The 20,234-nt window shown below is 43.8% G+C and overlaps 1 protein-coding gene and 1 pseudogene across 14 annotated transcripts in view, besides 2 other annotated features; one reads left to right on the top strand and one right to left on the bottom strand.

The window, feature by feature from the left end:
• Positions 1-20,234, bottom strand: part of MYO18B (myosin XVIIIB) — a 321,660-nt gene that overhangs the window by 85,131 nt on the left and 216,295 nt on the right. The window contains exon 41 of one of the 14 annotated variants that reach the window (XM_011530466.3): positions 13,646-13,925. The exons of the other annotated variants lie outside the window; for them this stretch is intronic. Coding sequence (XP_011528768.1) covers positions 13,719-13,925 — 207 coding nt within the window. The 3' untranslated portion in view covers positions 13,646-13,718. Of the gene's footprint in view, positions 1-13,645; positions 13,926-20,234 lie in introns of those variants that run through there. 14 annotated transcript variants of the gene reach the window in all.
• Positions 6,938-7,728: an enhancer, noted in NCBI's record as "H3K27ac hESC enhancer chr22:26366955-26367745 (GRCh37/hg19 assembly coordinates)". NCBI's record gives its function as "activates a minimal SCP1, AML or CMV promoter by ChIP-STARR-seq in naive H9 embryonic stem cells {active_cell/tissue: H9 hESC(naive)}" and the evidence as "EXISTENCE:reporter gene assay evidence [ECO:0000049][PMID:30033119]".
• Positions 7,729-8,521: an enhancer, noted in NCBI's record as "H3K27ac hESC enhancer chr22:26366162-26366954 (GRCh37/hg19 assembly coordinates)". NCBI's record gives its function as "activates a minimal SCP1, AML or CMV promoter by ChIP-STARR-seq in naive H9 embryonic stem cells {active_cell/tissue: H9 hESC(naive)}" and the evidence as "EXISTENCE:reporter gene assay evidence [ECO:0000049][PMID:30033119]".
• Positions 14,444-14,734, top strand: RN7SKP169 (RN7SK pseudogene 169; annotated as a pseudogene).

Genomic DNA, 20,234 nt, shown 5'->3' with positions numbered 1-20,234 from the left:
CTCCCAAAGTGCTGGGATTACAGGCATGAGCGACCATGCCTGGCCAGGATTCACATAGTTTTAAACTGGTGTTCCTCTCATCAATCTACACCACTCTCCAACTGTATTCCACAAAGCCTCCAAGGAGGAATCTCTTTAACCTGATCATGTCATTCCTCTGCTGAAAAGTCTTCAGTGTCTTCTCAGTTCCCACAGTCCCAACTTTGTTGTTTCGCATATCAAGTCCTTTAAAGTCTCTGTCCCAACTCGCCCTTTCTTTTTGCTGCCCACACCTTGCACCCCACATCAGTAATTCCCAGAGTATTCCCAAGCTCCCAAACATGCCATGTTCTTTGATGCCTCTGTGCCTTTGAACCTACCATTGCTCCATCTGGAATGCTCTACTCTGCCTTATCCCTTCTCTGACAAGTGAACTTCTACTCATCCATCAAGACCCCATTCCATAATCACCTCCTGTATGATGTGCTCTCTGGCTCCCTCTCATAGAATTAGTTTCTTTCCCTTCTATGCTCCCAGCATTTGTACAAGCCACTAGGAAAGACAGATATCCCATCAGATAGGAATTATTTGCCAATGTCTAATTCCCTACTATATTGATCTCCTTATGAATAAGGTTGTACTCGGCCTTATATCCCAAATACCTCGTGTAGTACTCAGAACTTAGAAGTCACCACATAAATACTTCAACTTTAAACTCTTCCTGCCCTAAATTCATAACTTGGGTAGCATGCAGCAGGTCTTACCAACATGGGCCATCGATTCACACAGACAGGAGCTTGCAACCCAGCTCCACCATTTGCAACGTGACCCCAAGCAAGTCTTGTCACCCACTTGACCCTCAGTTTTCTCATCTGCAAAGTGGAAATAATAACAGCATTGTTGTGCTATAGGACTAGCTGAAGAGTCACTGATGAGAGGAAGTGTTTGACACATTGCATAGACTATAACAAGTGCTTAATAAACATCAGCTCCCTTTCCTATTCTTAGAACTATTGAGTGACAGCTTGTGCAATATGCCAACCTGGGGGGTCTCCTCTGTTTTGATGCTTTCTCACCCTCACCCCATCTTCCCTGTGCCCCTCATTCTCTCCACTCAGGCATGTGCTCTGTACTCTACTAGCCAAACTATTGTAATGCCCCAGCATGGGCCTCAAAGTCCTTCCTTTCTCCTCTCCACAAAAACATGCTCGTCCTATGTCCCACTTCCTCACTGTCAGGTCACAATTCACCATGCCCAAGAATGAGATACAACCACTACTCCCAATGTGACAACCCCCTGGGGCACATTAGGTCTTAACCTGGTGTAGCATCCATGTATGTTCACAGCAGTCCCAGGAGAGACTCTACTTGGGTTACAGACACAGCAACCCAGATACAAATACAAATACAAATACAAATACAAATACAAATACAAATACAAATACAAATACAGGAGTTGGAAAATCGGATCACCCCTTGAATAAAGCCATCCAGGCCACTGATGATTAAAATGACTGTAACCCAACAGCTATGCAGATAAGCATAGCCGGGGAGAAACAGCACGGATATGAGAAGGAGAACCACATCCATTGCAAGACATAGAAATGGATCCCACATCTGTTTGGATTCCCCAGGCACCAATGAGTACATCCTACAGTCGGCCCCTCAACTCTACAATAGATGTCAATTCCTTCCCTATGTTCAATACAGAGCATCGTGCAGCCCAAGTTACATTCAGGTGCTTTGTAAACTGTAAAGAGCTGAATGCATAGGAGATAATTATCTATCATACTGTTTCTTCATTCTTCAGAGACACACTTCTCTTTTCAGGCATATCCCGTCACCTCGTAACAAATGAAACCTCAATCAGCATTTTCCACAAGCCAAAGAAACATCTTAAATGAGCTTGAGTAAGAAGGGGGAAACAATCCCTCTCGGGCAAATCAAGCCTCATCAATAGTCTTGTATTATTAGATATGTTCTTCCAAGAATTGATCAAGGAGGATATGGAATGGAGATATTGGTGCTGGTGATCAATGCCAGATCCTAGCCTTCCCCAGGCTTGGATCAGAGTCAATGCTATCTCCCTCAGAAATAGGGTGAAGGCAAAAGCTACCATCAGAGAAAACGGAGCATGCAACATAAACAGCAAAAGATGCCAATAAACAGCATGTGGCCAGGCATGTTAATGACTAAAATTAAGACAATGATTTCTGGACCTGATTGGTTTCCATCTGCTGTGGCACAAGGATATTAACAGAGTTGTAAACAGCAAGCCCTCATCTCAAAGTAGTGGAAAGTTCCACCTATTGATTGCATAATGGACTTTTTTGGTAGCTACAGCTCTTATTTATTCATGGCCATTTTTTAGTGGAATTGGTTGAAATGTCCACTAACTCTAAATTAAGTGCACTAAGTGGCCTCAAGAGAGAGGTTCTGGGTGGATTTTTATTTCTGACCAAAAGACACTGAGCAGTGTCTTGAGAAAGCAGGGTTTCTTGACCTCAGCATTAGGGATATCTGGGAGCAGATAATTCTTTGTGAGTGCTTACACAGGGCTATGCTGTACATTTCAGAATGCTTAGCATCATCTCTGGCCTCTACCCACCAGATATCAGCAGCACCTCCCACCCAAGTTGTGCCAGCCAAAAATGTCTCCAGATATTTCCTAATGTTCCCTGGGGGGACAAAATCACCCCCAGCTGAGGGTCAAGCTACAGGCATAAGGGTAAGCAGTAGACTTTATTTTTGAAAGAAATGGACTCTGGAGTCAGACAGATGTGAATTTGAATCTAGGACAAACCACTGTTTGCTGTGTGACCTCATCTTAAAAGTGTAAACCTCACCCTTTCATAACTTTGGGGGCCCTGGCATAAAGAGAAACTATGATATAGTACCAGCTGCTCCAAGTGGGGTCTCTGGGCCAGAAGCATCAGTATCACCTGGTTGCTGGTTGGAAATGCAGAATCTCAGGCCCTGCCCCCGATCTGCTGAGTCAGAATCTGCACCTTAACAATATCCCCGGGTGATCTGTGTACAGGTGATATTGGAGAAATGCAGACATTGTGGTTAAGAGCATATGTTTTGGAGTGATCACATATGTTGGTGTCAATCTTTCCTAGCTATCTGGCCTTGGGCAAATCACTTCAACTCTTGTAAGCCTCTTTTGTTAAATGTGTAAAATAGAGATAAAAATATTTCCTTGCTCATAAGGTTGAAAGTGCAGATTTAATTAGATGGTATATCGAAAGCACTTTGCACAGTGCCTGTCACATAGTAGACATACAGTAAATGTTAATCCCCAGGCTGCCCTCTGCCTCGCTTTCAGATGCCTCTCAGACTATATGATATTAGGATGCCGGGGCTCACAGCGGCGGAACATAAAGACGTTGAAGCTACCTCCGTACACTTTTGCGATCTTCCTTTTGACGGAGTCTGAAATTATATCAGCCACTTGGCCACTCATGGTCCATTTATTCATTTATTGACTCATCAGGAAAGAAAAACAACTGCTAAGCGGTGTGCTCTCTTTTACCTCCACATCTCAAGGTTATGGCCAGGTTGTGCACGCCTCTTGGATGAACAGCCTCATCAAATTCACTTCGCAGCTGGGGCCCATTGACTCTTGCCAGGTCCATCAGTTCTGCCTTCCCAGGCACTCAGGATCATCTTTTGCTTCTGATCGAGGGGCTTGACTCACAAGGTCTTCCAGAACTTTGGAAGCCAGGCATTGATTCCAACAGTCTCCCCCATTTTTCTCCAACTCTGGGACATGGCTCTTTGACACTCTCCCAGTGTCAGGGATCGCTTTGGTCACAGCCTCCAAAGTCTCCTTCTTCCCCCGCATTCCCTCTCTGGAGGCCAGACACTGCCCTGGGACAGACAGTGGACTGAACCAATCAAAACTGTGCTTAAAATGGCTCCATATTTGAATGGGACCCTTTGGAACCATAGGAGAGGTCTATGAGTTTCCTGTGCAAATCCAAGTGCTTGGTGGGACCCTTTCAGTTTTATGTTCCAAAACAGGGGTGGCAATTTACAACCCTCAGGTCAAATCTGGCCTCCTGCCTGTTTTCGTAAATCAAGTTTTATTGGAGCACAACTAGGCATTTATGCATTATCTGCGGCTTCTTTCATGCTATAATGACAGACTTCGGAGGTTGAGACAGAGACTCTATGGTTTGCAAAACTGAAAATATTTACTACCTGGTCCTTTGCAGAAAAAGTTGACTGGCCCCTGTTCTAAAATCCTAAAGTTCTAAAATTGTGTAGCATTAGGAGCTAACAATTCTAAGAATGTATAGATTTCAATATTCCATATTTCTATTAGGTTGAGCCAATTACAATCAGCTATATTGAACCAATTTTGACCTATACAAGTGGCAAATTCATATGGTTCAATTTAATAAGATTTTAATATTATGCGTGTCAAATGATTCAAGATTCTATTAATCCTGAGATTTTCTGGCTTGAAGGCTCTAAGGTCTTATATATCAAAGTTCTAGGATGCTATCATTCCAAACGCTGAGATTTGGCGGGTCTAATTGTTGAGTAGCCATATTGATAATTAAGAGATGCTGTTGTATTAGAGGAAGAAAAGGTATGAACATTAATTAGCAGACATAAAAGAGTTTAGTGAGTAAATTAATTTTTCAAAAAATGCAAGTTGATGGTACCTTGTGGAAAAAATGGATGAAATACAGATGTGAGATGATAACGTTTGCCTCCTCACCGTCCTAAGACTAGGATGACCTAAGACACAATTGAGATTTGACCCAAAACAGCTGTGGGACCAAATGAGGCTCAGATGAGTATGTATTACTATTTGTTGCCCCAGAAACAGGTCCCCCTCCTTGTGACAATGATGTGATGATGAGAAAAGTCATGTGTGAGTTCAAAAGGGATTGGAAAGGAAGTGGCATGTGGTCCAGCCCCCTCCACCCTAGGGAGAAGTCTGGGAGGCAATTACAAATAAGATGGGAACACAAAGCATTTGGATTATGCACAAAAGGATTATGCTTGTTTGAGATCATGCCTGCTGTCCAATATGGTAGCCACTAGCCACACATAGCTATTGATCACCTGATGTGTGGCTGGTGTGACCGAGGATCTGAATTTTAAATTTTATTCCACTTCAATTAAATGTAAATATCCCTGTGAGGCTGGTGGCTACCATGTTTGACAACACCATCCTAGGGTATTCATATATGTTATAGAGAGATAGAAAATAATCTAAATATCAGAGAAATTATGGCACTTCACTTGTTCTGTCTGCTGAAATCACCCCATGGGAGAAAACTGGAGGAACTCCAGGCCAAGAGCCACTGGGTTCTGTCCTACGTTCTGTGTTCTATATTTCTATGGTCTGAAGGTTCTAAGAGGTGCTATTGTTCTATGTTCTAAAAATGCAAAGCCCTGAAGGGCAGATGTGCTCAGGAAACCCTTTTGATTGATATTCACAGCCACCACCACCACCCCATTTTTAAGAGTAAGCTCTCACTTTTGCATGTGTGAATGTTTCATGGGTTCACTCGGCAATTAGTAAATATTGGAACACCTACTAAGTGTGTGGTTAGCTTCTGGACCCCACACTGGAAGCACCAAGAAGAAAGTGATGCTTAACAATAGGAAGTAGATAGTGTCCTTCAGAAACAAGATCTAGAAGCAAAAAAACAAATCAGTAATACAGAGGCAGGAACCATAGCTAAATTGTGTAGTGGATTGTGTGGGTGAGATCTGCATGGGAGGAGATCCTATCTCTTTTTTTTTTTTTTTTTTTCCTTTGAGACAGAGTCACTTTGTCACCCAGGCTGGAGTGCAGTGGCACGATCTTGGCTCACTGCAACCTCCACCTCCTAGGTTCAACCAATTCTCATGCCTCAGCCACCGGAGTAGCAGGGATTACAGGCATGCACCACCACACCCAGGTAATTTTTGTATTTTTAGTAGAGAAGGGGTTTCGCCATGTTGGCCAGGCTGGTCTCCAACTCCTGCCCTCAGGTGATCCACCTGCCTCGGCTTCCCAGAGTGCTGGGATTACAGGCGTGAGCCACCGTGCCCAGCCGAGATCTCGTCTCTAACCTCTCTCAGCCTTAGTCTCCTCACCTGCAATTCAGTGCTGATGAAATACCGACATCAGGGCTCCTGCCATGCTGCTGTGCCTAGGAGTCACCTGGGACCTTGTTAAAAAGCCAATTCTGACTCAAAGGTGTGGGGCTGAGCCTGAGACTCTACATTTCTATAGCCAAGGCTGCTGATCTGCGAATATATTTTGAAAAGTAAAGCCATAAGTCACACGAAATTGAAGAGAATTAAATGACATGAGGTATAAAACATGCTCAGGCCTGGCACAAATGATAGGCTGTTATATAAGTAATAATAACAAGTAAATACAAGCTATACATAATGCAACTTAAAATATACCTCCAGCTGACATCCTTAACAGATGCAAACCAAGCAAGCAACTAACCACAGAATCACAAATCGGGGTTCTGGTCACACTTTTCCTATGTATATATATATGCATATATTCATGGAAAAATATATATGTAATGACCTGTGAGTCATATATAAATATAAAATACATATATTTTATTTATATATATATGTATGTATTTTTTTTTTTGAGACAGTCTCACTCTGTCACCCAGGCTGGAATGCAGTGGCATGAATCCCAGTGATCCCAGCACTTTGGGAGATAGAGGCAGGTGGATCACCTGAGGTCATGAGTTCGAGACCAGCCTGGCCAACATGGCAAAACCCCGTCTCTACTAAAAAAATTTTTTTTTTTTGCCCTTTCAGGTTAAGTGAATCTTAACTATGAGTATCAGCACACATAAGTCTGAATTGTCCCTAGGACCCTGTTTGAAAATCATACCAGTTAAAATGCAAACATGATTGTTAGATTTGACATGCAGCCATGTCTTTGGCTTACAGACAACAAGTCTTTAATGTCGACCCAACTACAACAAAAACTACTCTCTCTAAACAACAAAAGTGCATAAACAGAATCTTAATTTGCATACTTGGGATTTCCTAACTGAGGCCGCGCCTTTGTGATGGAAACGAAATAGTCTGAACACAGGAAGGCATCTTGGTGTGGGAAGGCACTGGTAGGAACAGACAACAGAAGGATCATCCTGGGAAACTCAGAGCTGCCAGACTCTCAAATGAGCTACAAAAAGATCTGCATCACTGAACTGTAACCATAGCTAGGGCCAACAGGAAAGCAGACAGCCTTCTTTATTTGGTTTCACTCTCTCATGTTTTTTGGCTGGGGTCAGCGGGTGAGTACTACAAAGAATTACAATTTATTGACCACTTAACATGTGCAAAACATTCTAATCTCCCAACTACCTGATAACCCATTCTACAGATGAAGAAACAAAGACTCAAAGAGGACAGGTGCCTGAAAGAGATCGAGACAAGATTTAAACCCAGCTCTGCTGTCTGCCTCCAACTCCACTTCTTCTTCCAACAGAGCATAGAGCAAGAGTTGGCCAACTACAGCCCGTGGGCCAAATCCAGTCCACCATCTGTTTTTCTAAATAAAGTTTTATTGGAACATAACCACGCTCATCTATTCATTCATTTGCATAATGTCTAGGGCTGCTTTTGTGCTGCGACAGCAGAGTTGAGTAGTTGTGACAGAGACAGTATGGACTACAAAGTCTAAAATATTTACTACCTGTCCCTCTACAGAAAATACTTGCCAGTCCCTGGATCAGAGCATCCAGTTGCTACCTGTGTGCAAACTCAGCAGGCTCTCAGAAAGAAGCAAAAACCGAAAATCATCTTATTTCTTGAGTTCCTTTCCTTTTGTTTGCTGAAAAGTGACATCAGTCTTTTTTCTTCTCCCCACCCACCAAGCAATTAGCTCACAAAGGCAGGAGCCTGAAGGATTCCCCCTGAGTGTTTAAGTCTCTCTCCAGCAGGACGCTTTGTCTCCAAACCACTGCCAAACTTTAATAACAGCATCAACCACATCATCTTCCACCAAAAGCAAACAGGAAAGCTAGTTCTGCCGCCCAGCTGGGTGGATGTCAGCTGCAGACAGCTGCAAATTGCCTGAACAAGGACAGATGTAGCTTGTTTTTGCCTTTCTTTTTCCATTTGAAAACTTTGAGAGGGGGAGATGAGAATGCTGTTAGGGAAATGAATGTGTTGATTCTAATTATCCAAGCGGGCGGGCGGCAGAGGTGACATGCAGCAAGATGGGCTCCGAGTCATTTACCTGGAATGCAGCCAAGACAAGGCTGGAGAAGGCAGAATTCCAATGAAGCTGACACTCAGGACACTGAGCACAAAGAAGGAGGCATCTATGAACTCACAGGTCACAAGGTGGGGTATACTGCATTTGGGGACGTCATTCACAGAATTTTCAAATAGGAAATAATTCAACCACTGGCCTAGACTTATATGCCTGCTCTGAATCACAGGGCTTGCCTACTCTTGAAGGGGCTCTGCAGTGCTCTTTGATTCTAGTCTCACTCTGATAATGATGTGATGATGATGGCGGTGGTCACAGTGATGAGAGTGATAATAATAATTTTCATGATGGTGGTGGTGGTAATGATGGTGATGATAATGATGGTGGTGATCAAGATGATGATTGATGGTGATGGTGATGATGATGCAAATGGTGGTGATGATGACAGTGATGAAGATAATGATGGTAATGGTTGTGGTAACAATGGAGGTGATGCTGATGGTGGGAATGGTGGAAAAGATGATGTGTTGGTGGTGATGGTGGTGGTGATGAAGAAGATGATATGGCAATGATGATGATAATGATGATGATGATGGTTATTATGATGATGATGATAGGCGGGCTTACTTTGTGCCAGGCACTGTAATAAGTATTTAAACACATTATTTTATTAAGTAATCCCCACAATGCTGTGAAGCAGTTGCAATAATTGTCTCCATTTTATGAGTTAACAGGGAAACAGAGAAAGTGAGTGCCTTGACTAAAGTCACACAGTAAGGACATGATGGAACTGAGATTTGCATCTAAGTCTCCTTATTCCCAGTTCTTTGTCCTGTCAAGCTCTTTCTTCTCTCAGCATGTATTTTTTTATGCCTACTCTGTGCTAAGCAATGTTCTAGGGCAAAGGTAAGTGATTTTTTTTTCTGTAAAGGACCAGGTAGTATATATCTTGGACTTTGTAGGCCAAATGGTCTTATCACAAATACTCCTCTCTGCTGTTGTAGCCCCAAAGCAGCCATAGAAAATAGGTAAATGTTTGTGACTATGTCTTAATAAAACTTTATTTATAAAAATCAGGACAGCAGCCAGATCTGACCATAGGTTATCAAGCTGTATTTTATGGTGCTGCCTCAGGGGCCAGGGTGGAAAAGTAGATGAGCCCTAATGGGGAGCTCTGCTTTTACTTACCACAAATCTGTATCAGCTATGGATTTAAAATAAGATTTGGCTACTTAAAAGAAGAAAAAAACGTGGTAATCTCTGGATACCTCCTTGCTAACTCCCAGGTGAGATAAGCAAGGGATATCTCTCTGTCCTTTGAAACCCTCTCTCCAACAGATAAGGTGACACATCTGGAATCCAGTTGTGGGGTAGCTATAGAATCAATCTAGAATGGGATGGAGAAGGGGAGGTCTATGGGAATGTTGTTGCCCACAGAGGTAGTAATTTCCCCAACCCCACAGTTGCATAACAGAGATGGAATTTTTACCAGTCTGAGGTTGGAGAAGATACCAGTTGGAATGAAGAGGCCTGGGCACCTTCAGGTTTGAGATTGTGTGACTCTGTGCATTGCTCTTGGGGTGTAGGAATGTGCTTGTTTCAGAGGAAGCTGCCACCATGACTATCAGCCATTTGAGACACACTCAAAGCTTGCAGCTCTATGACCAACCAGCTCTGGGCTTGCCCAGGGGTCTCAGCAGAAAGAGCTTTAAAAGTCGTCTGGTCCGTTTTACAGAGAGAGAAAGTGAGTCCAGCAAGGGAAAAGATGTGCCCAAGTCCACAGAGTCAGTCAGAGGCAGAAGTGTGGCTTGGACCCAGACTTCCTGGCTTCAAGGCAAGCTCCTCCTACTGTGTGAGCCACTCCCTTTGAGAAGATAGAAAGGGAATTTAGGCTGTCCACTTCCGGCCTCCATTTCCTTTCTTTGATCCACCCTACTTATGGGATGTCCCAGCCCCAGGAGTAACAGAAAATATACAAAAAGGAGGAGGAAAAAGTCAAGCAGGAGGCAGGAACACAAGCAGAGAAGATAAAACCTAGAAGGGGCCTGTGGCAAGGCAGAGAGATCTCTGCAAGAGTCAAGGCCCACAGATGTGGCTTCCACAGTGGGCATCCAAAGGCTTTGCCTTTTTGGAAACCATTTCTCCTCCTTCTGGCACTAACATTTCAATTTTCCTTGGGGGAATCTATTCTTCTACTCTCCATCCATATGGCTAGGGTGGAGCTGACTCTACTCCTGGATTCAGGGCTGGGCATGTACCCCAGAACTGTTCAATCCAGCCTCTACCCTTCAAATACCAGTGCTTGGTTTAGGTGTGGGCATATAACCCAAACCAGGCCAATCAGGGTCAATGAGATTCTACTTCTTGGCCTTTGTTTGAGCCGCTGGGTGGAAGGGGCCCTCTTTCTGTTGAGGTTGATAGCCTTGCTGTTTGTCAGCCTAACTCTGTTGCCACTAGGAAGGGAAAGCCTGTCTGAGAATGGCAATCAACTCCAAGGCAATGGGAAGGGAGGGATTCAGTCGGTGGTGTGCTGGTAAATGTTCAAAACTGACTGTGGGGATGAGTGGAAATCCTTTAACATTTGCCAGTTTCCATAGTGTAAATAATCCCACAATGGCCAATGTCAAGCTACCAATGTGATGTCATGGAGCATGGAATTGGGAAGAGATGGACACAGTCAGCTCTGGCAAACAGATACGGGTTGACCCCAGCACACCGAATTCAGCCTGTTGGCATCATTTGAGTCCCTGAATTTCACTGAGTCTGAAGCCAGAGGTCATGAAACTTTTTCATTACATGAGCCAATAAATTTCCTTTTGCTTAAGCCAATTTAATTTTGTTTCCGTCACTTGCAACTAAAAGAGCCATAACCTAGACAAGTTATATTCATCTTTCCCCACTAAATACACTTTGAATTCCAAACCAGCCAATTCTCCCAAAAAAACCATTTCGCTTCCCAACTGCTTGGTCGATCCTCATATTCTGAGATCCCCTCTCCCTTTCTTATTGTTTAAGCTCTGTCAAAAAAGAACAGTAAAAAGAGAATTACCCTTCAAACCGAATTATACTTTGGAAATGAATCAAAAACATGAAGTGTCTGATTTGGGGCCCCCTGGATTTCCTTGGGACCACTATCTTTTAAAGATGTCAAATCGTAACAATGATCAAGCTTTCTACCATGAAGACTAACCTTCCTAAGCCTCCCTGGCATACAATTAAGTGAAGCATAATCTCATCTAAACAATATAAATTGGATTTATTTGAATAATTTAATATACTCCTGCCATATTCAATCAATATCTCTCCCCTTTCTTTTTTAAGTAATTAACTTTGCAGAGTTAAGTTACTCTAATTTCCAGCAAGTCTGAAGTGACGAAAGTTCAATTGATGAAATCTCAAGGGACAAGATTAGTATCTGCTCCTCTGTTTGCCATCTTGAGCCTCAGCGCATTATTTGTAATTGGTATTAGCAACTTTAAATTCTGATTAATTGCTGGAGAGTCTGTTTTCAATGCAGAAACAAAGCCACAAGTCGGGGAGTAATAGACCCAATTATTCCTAGGTAGGCTTTTGGTAATAGATTTTATTATCAGGATAACTCATCTCAGAGCCAGACGCAAAGAAACTCTTTCGTTAGATGGTAACACCTCTTGAATTGAGACAAGCACATTCACCATGTGAGATAAAGACAGCTTGGGAGAATTCACTTTCAGAAACATGTCTGAGGCTAGCAGCACCTAAATGCCTATTAGGACTAAGTTTCTTTTGTACAGAAACCTTTGTAGGGAGACAAACAGGAAACCACAGTGCCTAGAAGGAGGGGAGTGACAGAAATACCCGCGGGTTCCCCTGTCAGCTCTCTGAGCATGCGGGAGGCCATTAGGAGTAGGGATTAAAAGGAAATCTGTGAACACAGAGTTTATAAGCGTGTTGGGTCATTTTGGATCCCACTGAGATAACGGGGCAGTAATTAGGAGGGCTATCTCCCTGTCAGGAGAGCCATAAAATGTGTTATTTACACCCGGCTCATGGCCCCAAATGCCCTCCATGTGGAATGCCTTTTTAAATACTTCAGTTCCCAGCCAGAATAATTCATCTTTACGCTTTCAAGTTCATAGCCATTTGCAGGGGGAAAACACCAAGGGCTTTTTGAAATGAACCCCTTCACTGTGGGTTTGGTGAATGCCATGGAGTAAGTAGATGGAAGGGGACTTTTGAAAACATGGGGTTTGGGAGTGGAAAAAAATTAAAGCAAATGAAAAAACAAAAACAAAAACAAAAACAAACAAACAAAAAACAGAACCTGACTTTGGGCTTCCTAAGGCCCCTACCTACTATGTTCAGATTCTCAGAAGGCAGGAGAAAATGAACAGGGAGAGAGGAGCAGGTGTGCTTTTGGGGACAGTTATGTGACAGGCAGATCTAGAAGCATGGCATGAATTACTTGTTTTAGTCTTTTCCAGGAGATGTGATTGCATCTATTTTATACATGAGTTAAAAGAGCATGCTCAGAAGGACAGATTTCTAATGGTGAAGTAATCTTGCTTAAAAAGACAGTCAGTGAGCGATGAGACTTGATTAAGAGCCTTTCACTCCTTCTACTCTGCCAACCGCCTTCTAACAGGGTATGGGGACACCACCCCAAGGAGACGCCAGGTCACAGGAGTGCAGGAAGTGGCTCATATTGGCTGGCAAGAGCTGATAGCTAAATTTTAGGGAATTTTGCAAGCCAGTTGTCAAACACAGCTATTATTAAAGATTAAATGATACAAGCTTACAACTAAATATATGAAAAACAAAGGTAATACGTACTCAAAACACATTGCTTTCTAATTATTTTGCTAACGTTTTGCTCTAACTATGCTTTTGAAGGTATTTGTGCTTTTTGTACCTGTATGGTGCAAATGATATATAATGATGCGCTACTGTGCATTGCTTCCCAACTCTGCCTTGGTGACATCATGTAGTTAGGTTGAAATCAGCCCTGGAGGGAGAATTTACACCACAGAAATTGGCAAACACTACAAGCCAGGAATCCACCTGCCCTGGAAAGGCAGTTGTTAAACATTTACCAGCACATCACCGCCCCGATCTTTTTTCCTGGTGGTCTGGTAAAGTCCTCTCAGATCCAAATTCATCTCCTAATCATCTCCTAATCATCAATGGGCTTTTTCCTTCGAGGGAAACTGACCAATATGGAGGGGAACAAGGCCTTCACAAATTGACCAGTACAGAGGGAAACAAGCTATCCTCAAATCTGCTCTACGCCTCCCATTCTTTACACTTTTCCCCCGAAGGTGGAAGATATACCCCAAAGTAACACCAAATAAATAATGCATGAACCATATATAATTGATGCTAGATTTAACAGAAGTAGAGCCATAAGTGGTTGCCTATTAACTATTTATGACTTTGCCCAAGCGGCTGACAAGCCAGGCTCAGTGAGGAGATCACACCCATGGTCCCATGTTTTATTTAAACATGATTAAAAGTACACAGTCTGCAGCAAGGCCTTCAATTCCACTCAGAATTAGATTCTGCTGTGAAGTCGCCTCTGGGTCTCAGGAAGGTTGGGATTGGATTTTGCTGGAACCGCTACCGGTTTTTTTCCTACAAGGGTAGGGAGTCTAATTTCCGCCTCTTTCCATTCTTGACTTTCTCCTTTCCTGACGTTCCCCCTTCTCCAGCTGCCCTGCGACCTTGGGCACAGCACCTCCCTGAGCCTCAGTTTAACCACCTGTAAAATGGGGAGTTATCATAGTTGTTAACTAAAGGGTTATGGTGAGGATTATCTCAGACAGGTTGCTCTTAACAGATGGTGATTTTGCCCCTTAGGGGACATTTGGTAATGTCTGGAGACATTTTTGATTATGGTAAACGGGGCAGAAATGCTATTTGCCTCTAGTAGGTAGAGGACAGGGATGCTACTAAATGTCTTACCATACACAGGACAGTCTTCACAACATAGAATGATCTGATCCTAGATGTCAATAATGCCAAGGTTGAGAACCTCTACATTACAGAATCAGAAGCAATATTAACATATATTATTAATTTTTTAAAATTGTACTTGAACACGTAAACACTGCGTATCTAAAATTCATTGAGTCGGTCAGACCCGCACTCAAATTCTGACTCTGCCATTTACTGGGAATGTGACTTTGGAGAAATTGCTTCACCTGTCTGGATTTTAGTTTCTTTAATGATAAAATAAGGACAATTACCTCCAACGGTGAGGCTCAAAATAGGGGATTCGGATGTGAGGGCGATCTAGCTGTAACATCTGTCACCCTGTTGATCGCCAGGGTTGATCTGGCTGATCTAGCTGGCTAGGCGGGTGTCCCCTTCCCCCCTCACCACTCCATGTTCATCCCTCCCAAAGCTGCATGCTTCAAGAGGATGACTGTCTCTGATAGAGGAGGACCAGTCTTCGGTCAAGGGTATATCTCCAAACCTCCAAACAAGTTCTCAAAACAGAGGATTCATGTAAAGTACTTAACCCAGTACCCACCATACAGTATATGATAAACAAATATTAAATCCTATTAACATCACTGCCATCCACTCACGGGCACTGCATGGATGTGGAGCTGGTAGAATATGATAAAGCTTGAGTGGAAGGAGAAAATCAGAAACTCAAAGGAAGAGTAAGAAAAGGAAGAAAGAAAATAAAGTACCATCTATTAGGTGCTTATTATGGGCTGTCATTTGACACTTTTGTATACATGATCTCATTTAATCCCCATAGCTACCCAATAAAACAGGCCATATTATGCCTATTTTACAGATGAGGAAATTGAGTTGCTTCAATGTTAACTTAGCTGTCTGAGGTATCAGACTCCAAGCGCAATGCTCTTTTCAACCACCGTATAGTGGGTTAAATAGCGTCCCCCAAAAATCCATATCCACCTAAAAACTCAGAATGGGACCTTATTGGGAAATAGGGTCTTTGCAGAAGTAATGAGTTAAGCTGAGGTCATACTAGATTAAGGTGGGCCCTGAATTCAATGACTGGTGTCCTTGAGGACACATGGAGACAGAAAGAGAAGAGGGGAAGGCCACATAAAGACAGAGGCAGAGATAAGCATGATGCAGCCCACAGGCCAAGGAATGCCTGGAGCCACCAGGGGAAGGAAGGATTCTCCCCTAGAGCCTTCAGAGGAGCATGTCTCTCCCAACATCTTCATTTCAGACATCTAGCCTCCAGAACTGTGAGACAATAAGTTCCTGTTGTTTTAAGATATCCAGGTTTTGATTATTTGTTATGGTAGCCTAGAAATTTAACACAGACCCTCCTCCCAACCTGAGTCAAAACAATTGTGTGTGTGTGTGTGTGTGTGTGTGTGTGTGAGAGAGAGAGAGAGAGAGGAGAAAGAGGAGAGAGAGAGAGGAGAAAGAGAAAGAGGAGAGAGAGAGAGAAACAGCATGCCTAAGTCTAGACAAGTGAGAACTAAGGAAGAATAAGGAAGAACAAGGAAAGCAAAAGAAAACAGGTTGAAGAGGGAGGAGGAAGAGATTTTGCAATTGGCATGCAGTAGGGGAGCTGCAATGAGAAAGAAGGAAGAGAAGAAAGGAAAGGGGTGAAGAGTCTGTGTTTATATCCCTGTAACTGGTTTCTCTCTGACTCTCCGGCAACCTGGACATTGCCTGACACACAGCAGGCATTCACTAGACACTTGCTGAATGCAAGTGAGAGATGTCGTGATAAACATGACTGGATCACTGCTCCCCCAAAGCTGCCAGCCAGTATTTGCTTTATCATTCAAGAAACTCCATACAAGTTTCAGATGAATGATGCATCTTCCATACAATCTCCCCTAGGGCTCCTGTTTGTGTGAAACCATTTCTTCCTTTGTCCACACATCCCATCTTGTGTCAGAGTTATTGAGGGACATGTGCATCTCCTCCTCTAGATCTTGAGAAATGCAAGGGCACAGTCCCTAGTCCATCCATGTCTGCATCTCCCACAACATCAGGCACAGGGCTAGGTACATAGTAAGATACAAACAACAGTTGGTTGATTTAAAATTTTCCATTTCTAAGATGTACTTTTTTGAGCCATTCTGTTAAGAGGTAAAACTTCAAAATGCTGAGAAAATTATTCAGCAAGCAATTACTGAGCATCTACCCTATACCTGACTCTGATATGGAGGTTGCAGCCCGAGTCAAGTAAAGTCTTCTCTCAGGGTTTCTCTCTCTAGGAAGACAAGAACATCGGCATTTACAATAACTGGGTGACACATGCATTGATGGGGTGGGCACAGGGGGTACGGGAACACAAAGGAGGTGCTTAACCTGATATTTGAGTTTTGAAATTTGCATAGGCAGGCAGCAGGATGCATGAGGATAAAGGCGGTGAATCAAGGAGTAACATGGCACTGGGGTCTTGTCTTATTTCAATTGTGTTGCTATAAAGGAATACCTGAGGCTGAGTAATTTATAAAGAAAAGAGGTTTACTTGGCTCACGGTTCTGCAGGCTGCACAAGAAGTGTGACACCAGCACCTGCTTCTAGTGAGGGCCTTAGCTGCTTCCACTCATGACACAAAGGGAAGGGGAGCTGATATGTGCAGAGATCATACGGCAAGAGCAGAAGCAAGACAGAGAGGAGGAAGTGGAAGGCTGTTTTCAACAGCCATTTCTCAGGGGAACTCCAGTGAGAACTAACACAGTGAGAACTCACTCGTTACCATGAGGAGGCACCAAGCCATTCATGAGGGATCTGCCCAAACACCTCCTATGAGGTCCCAACAGGTAAAACCCAACAGGTGCAGCCTCTGAAACAGGTGCATCTGGCAGGCCGAAGTCAGACCTTCCCGTCAGCATCTGGACTTCTAGCTTCCTCAGGTACCCCTTGATTACCCAGTTCTGGGGCCAGGGTGGTTCCCCGGGCCCTGTAACTACTGAAAAACAACAGGATATACATCCACAGAGGAGTTGCTTCATCGCTGTAATGACAAAGGGACAGGAATAATCTACAGCCAGAATATTATTTTCTCCATAATGGCTCCTGGAGTCTCCAGGAATAGCACATTTACTAAAATTAATGGCAAAACTGAGGATCAAATTTCAACATGATGCTTGAGGGACAAACATTCAAACTACAGCAGTCCTCAACATCTGTCTTTATGCTTAAGTAGAACAGGTAAGAGGATGAGAGGCAGACAACCAGAGGTGGAAAAATCTAGAGAGGTTAGATTTCTTGTAGGCCATAGGAAGCAGTTTGAACTTTGTTCTGAAGGCAATGGAGACCCATGACCCATGGAAGATCTTTTTGTTGTTTTCTTTCTTTCTTTTTTTTTTTTTTTTAGATGGAGGCTAGCTCTGTCACCCAGGCTGGAGTGCAGGGGTGCAACCATAGTTCACCGTAATCTTGAACTCCTGGGCTCAAGCAATCTTCCACCTCAGCCTCCTGAGTAGCTGGGTCTACAGGTACATGCCAGCAGACGTAGCAAATTCTTCTTTGTTGCTTCCTTCCTTCCTTCCTTAATTCCTTCCTTTCCCTTCTTTCCTCTTTCTTTCTTTCTCTCTCTCTTTCTCTTTCATAGAGATGGGGTCTTGCTATGTTGCCGAGGCTGGTCTTGAACTCCAGGCCTGAAGTGATCCTCCCACTCGTCCTCCCAAAGTGCTAGGATTATAAAGCATGAGCCAACATATCCGGCCCCATAAAAGATTTCTTAGCAGAGAAATAACACAGTAAGCTATGCTCCTTCTTGAAGGATCTCCTGCAGGGCGGACCAAGACTGAAGGGAAAGTGGGGAGACAAGTGAGGAGTCACTATAGAAGCCCAGACTGGAGGGGATGATGCTTAAATAAAGATAGAGTGAGCAAAAATGGGTCAGGAGGGGTGAATTTGAAAAATAATAGGGTAAAATCAGCGGGTCTGACCATTAAGCTATGTGAGCGAGAGGGAGACAGGTTGCTGCAATTTCTAACTCAGGTCACCAGGTGGATGCAGGAAGAGTGAGCAGAAGCACCATGCAAGTTTTTCAAGACCTGGGGAACTTGTGAAAAGGACACCTGGATCAGGGGAAAGTCAAAACCGGAGAATCAGGCCAAGGTGATGAGGGATAAAACCCAACAGGTGCAGCCTCTGAAATAGGTGCACCTGGTAGGCCGAAGTCAGGCCTTCCCGTCAGCATCAGGACTTCCAGCTTCCTCAGGCACCCCTTGATTACCCAGTCTTGGGACCAGGGTGGTTCCCCCGGGCCCTGTAACTACTGAAAAACAACAGGATATATACATCCACAGATGAGTTGCTTCATCGCTCTAATGACAAAGGGACTGGAATGATTTAGAGCCAGAATATTATTTTCTCCATAATGGCTCCTGGAGTCTCCAGGAATAGTACATTTACTAAAATTAATGGGAAAACCTCATTTTTCTTTTTTCTGGGAAGCAAAGTTCCACCGGAGGGGTAATTGATCCTGATCTGGATGTGCCAGAGAGTCAGCTGGGGGTATAAATCATTCACATGCAACAACTCACAGTTCTTTAAACCAACACCAACAGTGACAAATAGTACAGGTTGGGGACGGGCGGAAAGGATTGTGGACAGGAGATCCATCAACATCCTTCCCACTGCTCTCCAGGGCCCAGAGCACCGGATCCTTTTTTTGGTCTCCAGAGCAGAGCCATTTTTCAGCAAGGTTGGGTTGAAAGGGCAGCAGGGTGACCTGGTGAGAGCTTTAGCATTGGACACGTGGGACACCAATCCCAGCTCTGCCCTTTCTGACCCTGCAGCCCTGGACAACCTCACACCCGGGCCCCTCCATGTTCTCCACTTGCTGAGGTTGACATTAAGTGCTAAAGAAGACAACTTCTGCAAACGGCTTGAACATAGAACAACTCAATAAACGTTTGTTGATGGAATGAATAAATGAATGCTTGGACTGTGGAGTTAGGAAATGTATTCTATCCCTCCCAGGGAGGATGTGAATTCTAAAAATGAAGACAGGCCAGGAGCGGTGACATGCTTATAATCCTAGCACTTTGGGAGGCTGGGGCTGGAGGATGGCTTGAGGCCAGCAGTCCAAGACCAGCCTGGTCAAAGTAGTGAGACCCCACTTCTATTTTAAAAAATTGAAAAATTAGCCAGGCACAATGGTATGCACTTGTAGTCTCAGCTACTCTGGAGGCTGAGGCAGGAGGATCGCTTATGCCCAGGAGTTGGAGGCTGCAATGAGCTATGACTGTGCCACTGCACTCCAGCCTGGGTGACTAAGACCCTGTCTCAATTTAAAAAAAAAAAAAAAAAAAAAAAAGGAAGATGGAGAAGGCAATACTTTGCCCAAAGAAATGGACTTGTGGTGGTGACAGTGGGCATGGGAGAGAGATTTGGTGCCAACTGGCCTTCTAAAATCCCTCAAATCACAGTGCATGCCCCCTTGTTTTGCCTGTGAAGGCTCTGAGCTCTCATTACGGAGGAAACTCCATACTTGTACGAAGTACACTAAGAATGGCCTTAGTTGTATTTTCTCATGCAGTTATATATTTCCATCTATGAGCTCCTGGGGGGCAAAGGTGTGTGCTGTTCCTCACTGGGTATCCAGCATAAAGCACAGGGCTTGACCCACAGTGAAAACTATGGATATATATTGCATGAAGGAAAGAAGCAAAGCTCTGGCTGCCTTGCAGGATTTTAGTGTAGTTTAGAGAGAACATATGGCACAAAGAAGCTGCCCCTTATCTTATAGAAATGGGATGAGGGAAGGCAAGTTGGTGGCATAGACATGAACAGATGGGATGATCTGTCTTCAGAAGCCAGGGAGAGTACCAGGATGCCACACCTATAGGAGGGGCCTCAGCAGCAAGACTAGACTTTCAATGACAGTGAGGACTTAACTCTCCCACTGAGCCCTGTTTTGGGCACACTGTGTAACTTCTACACAGCAAGGACCTTATGATTCCTTGCCCTTCCTCACCAGTGCCTATCCCTGTGCCATGCTCATAGCTGGTGTTGAATAGGTATTTGTTGAATGAATAAATGAGTGATACAAGAAAGTATGACTTCCTCCCTTCTCCCAGTGGAAACTTCCCAGAGCTCA

The sequence above is a fragment of the Homo sapiens genome, chromosome 22 (genome assembly GCF_000001405.40).
Source record: "Homo sapiens chromosome 22, GRCh38.p14 Primary Assembly".
In the NCBI taxonomy this organism is placed as follows: Eukaryota; Metazoa; Chordata; class Mammalia; order Primates; family Hominidae; genus Homo; species Homo sapiens.
Note: the sequence above shows the minus strand (reverse complement) of the source record. Positions and strands in the feature narration are given on the sequence as shown.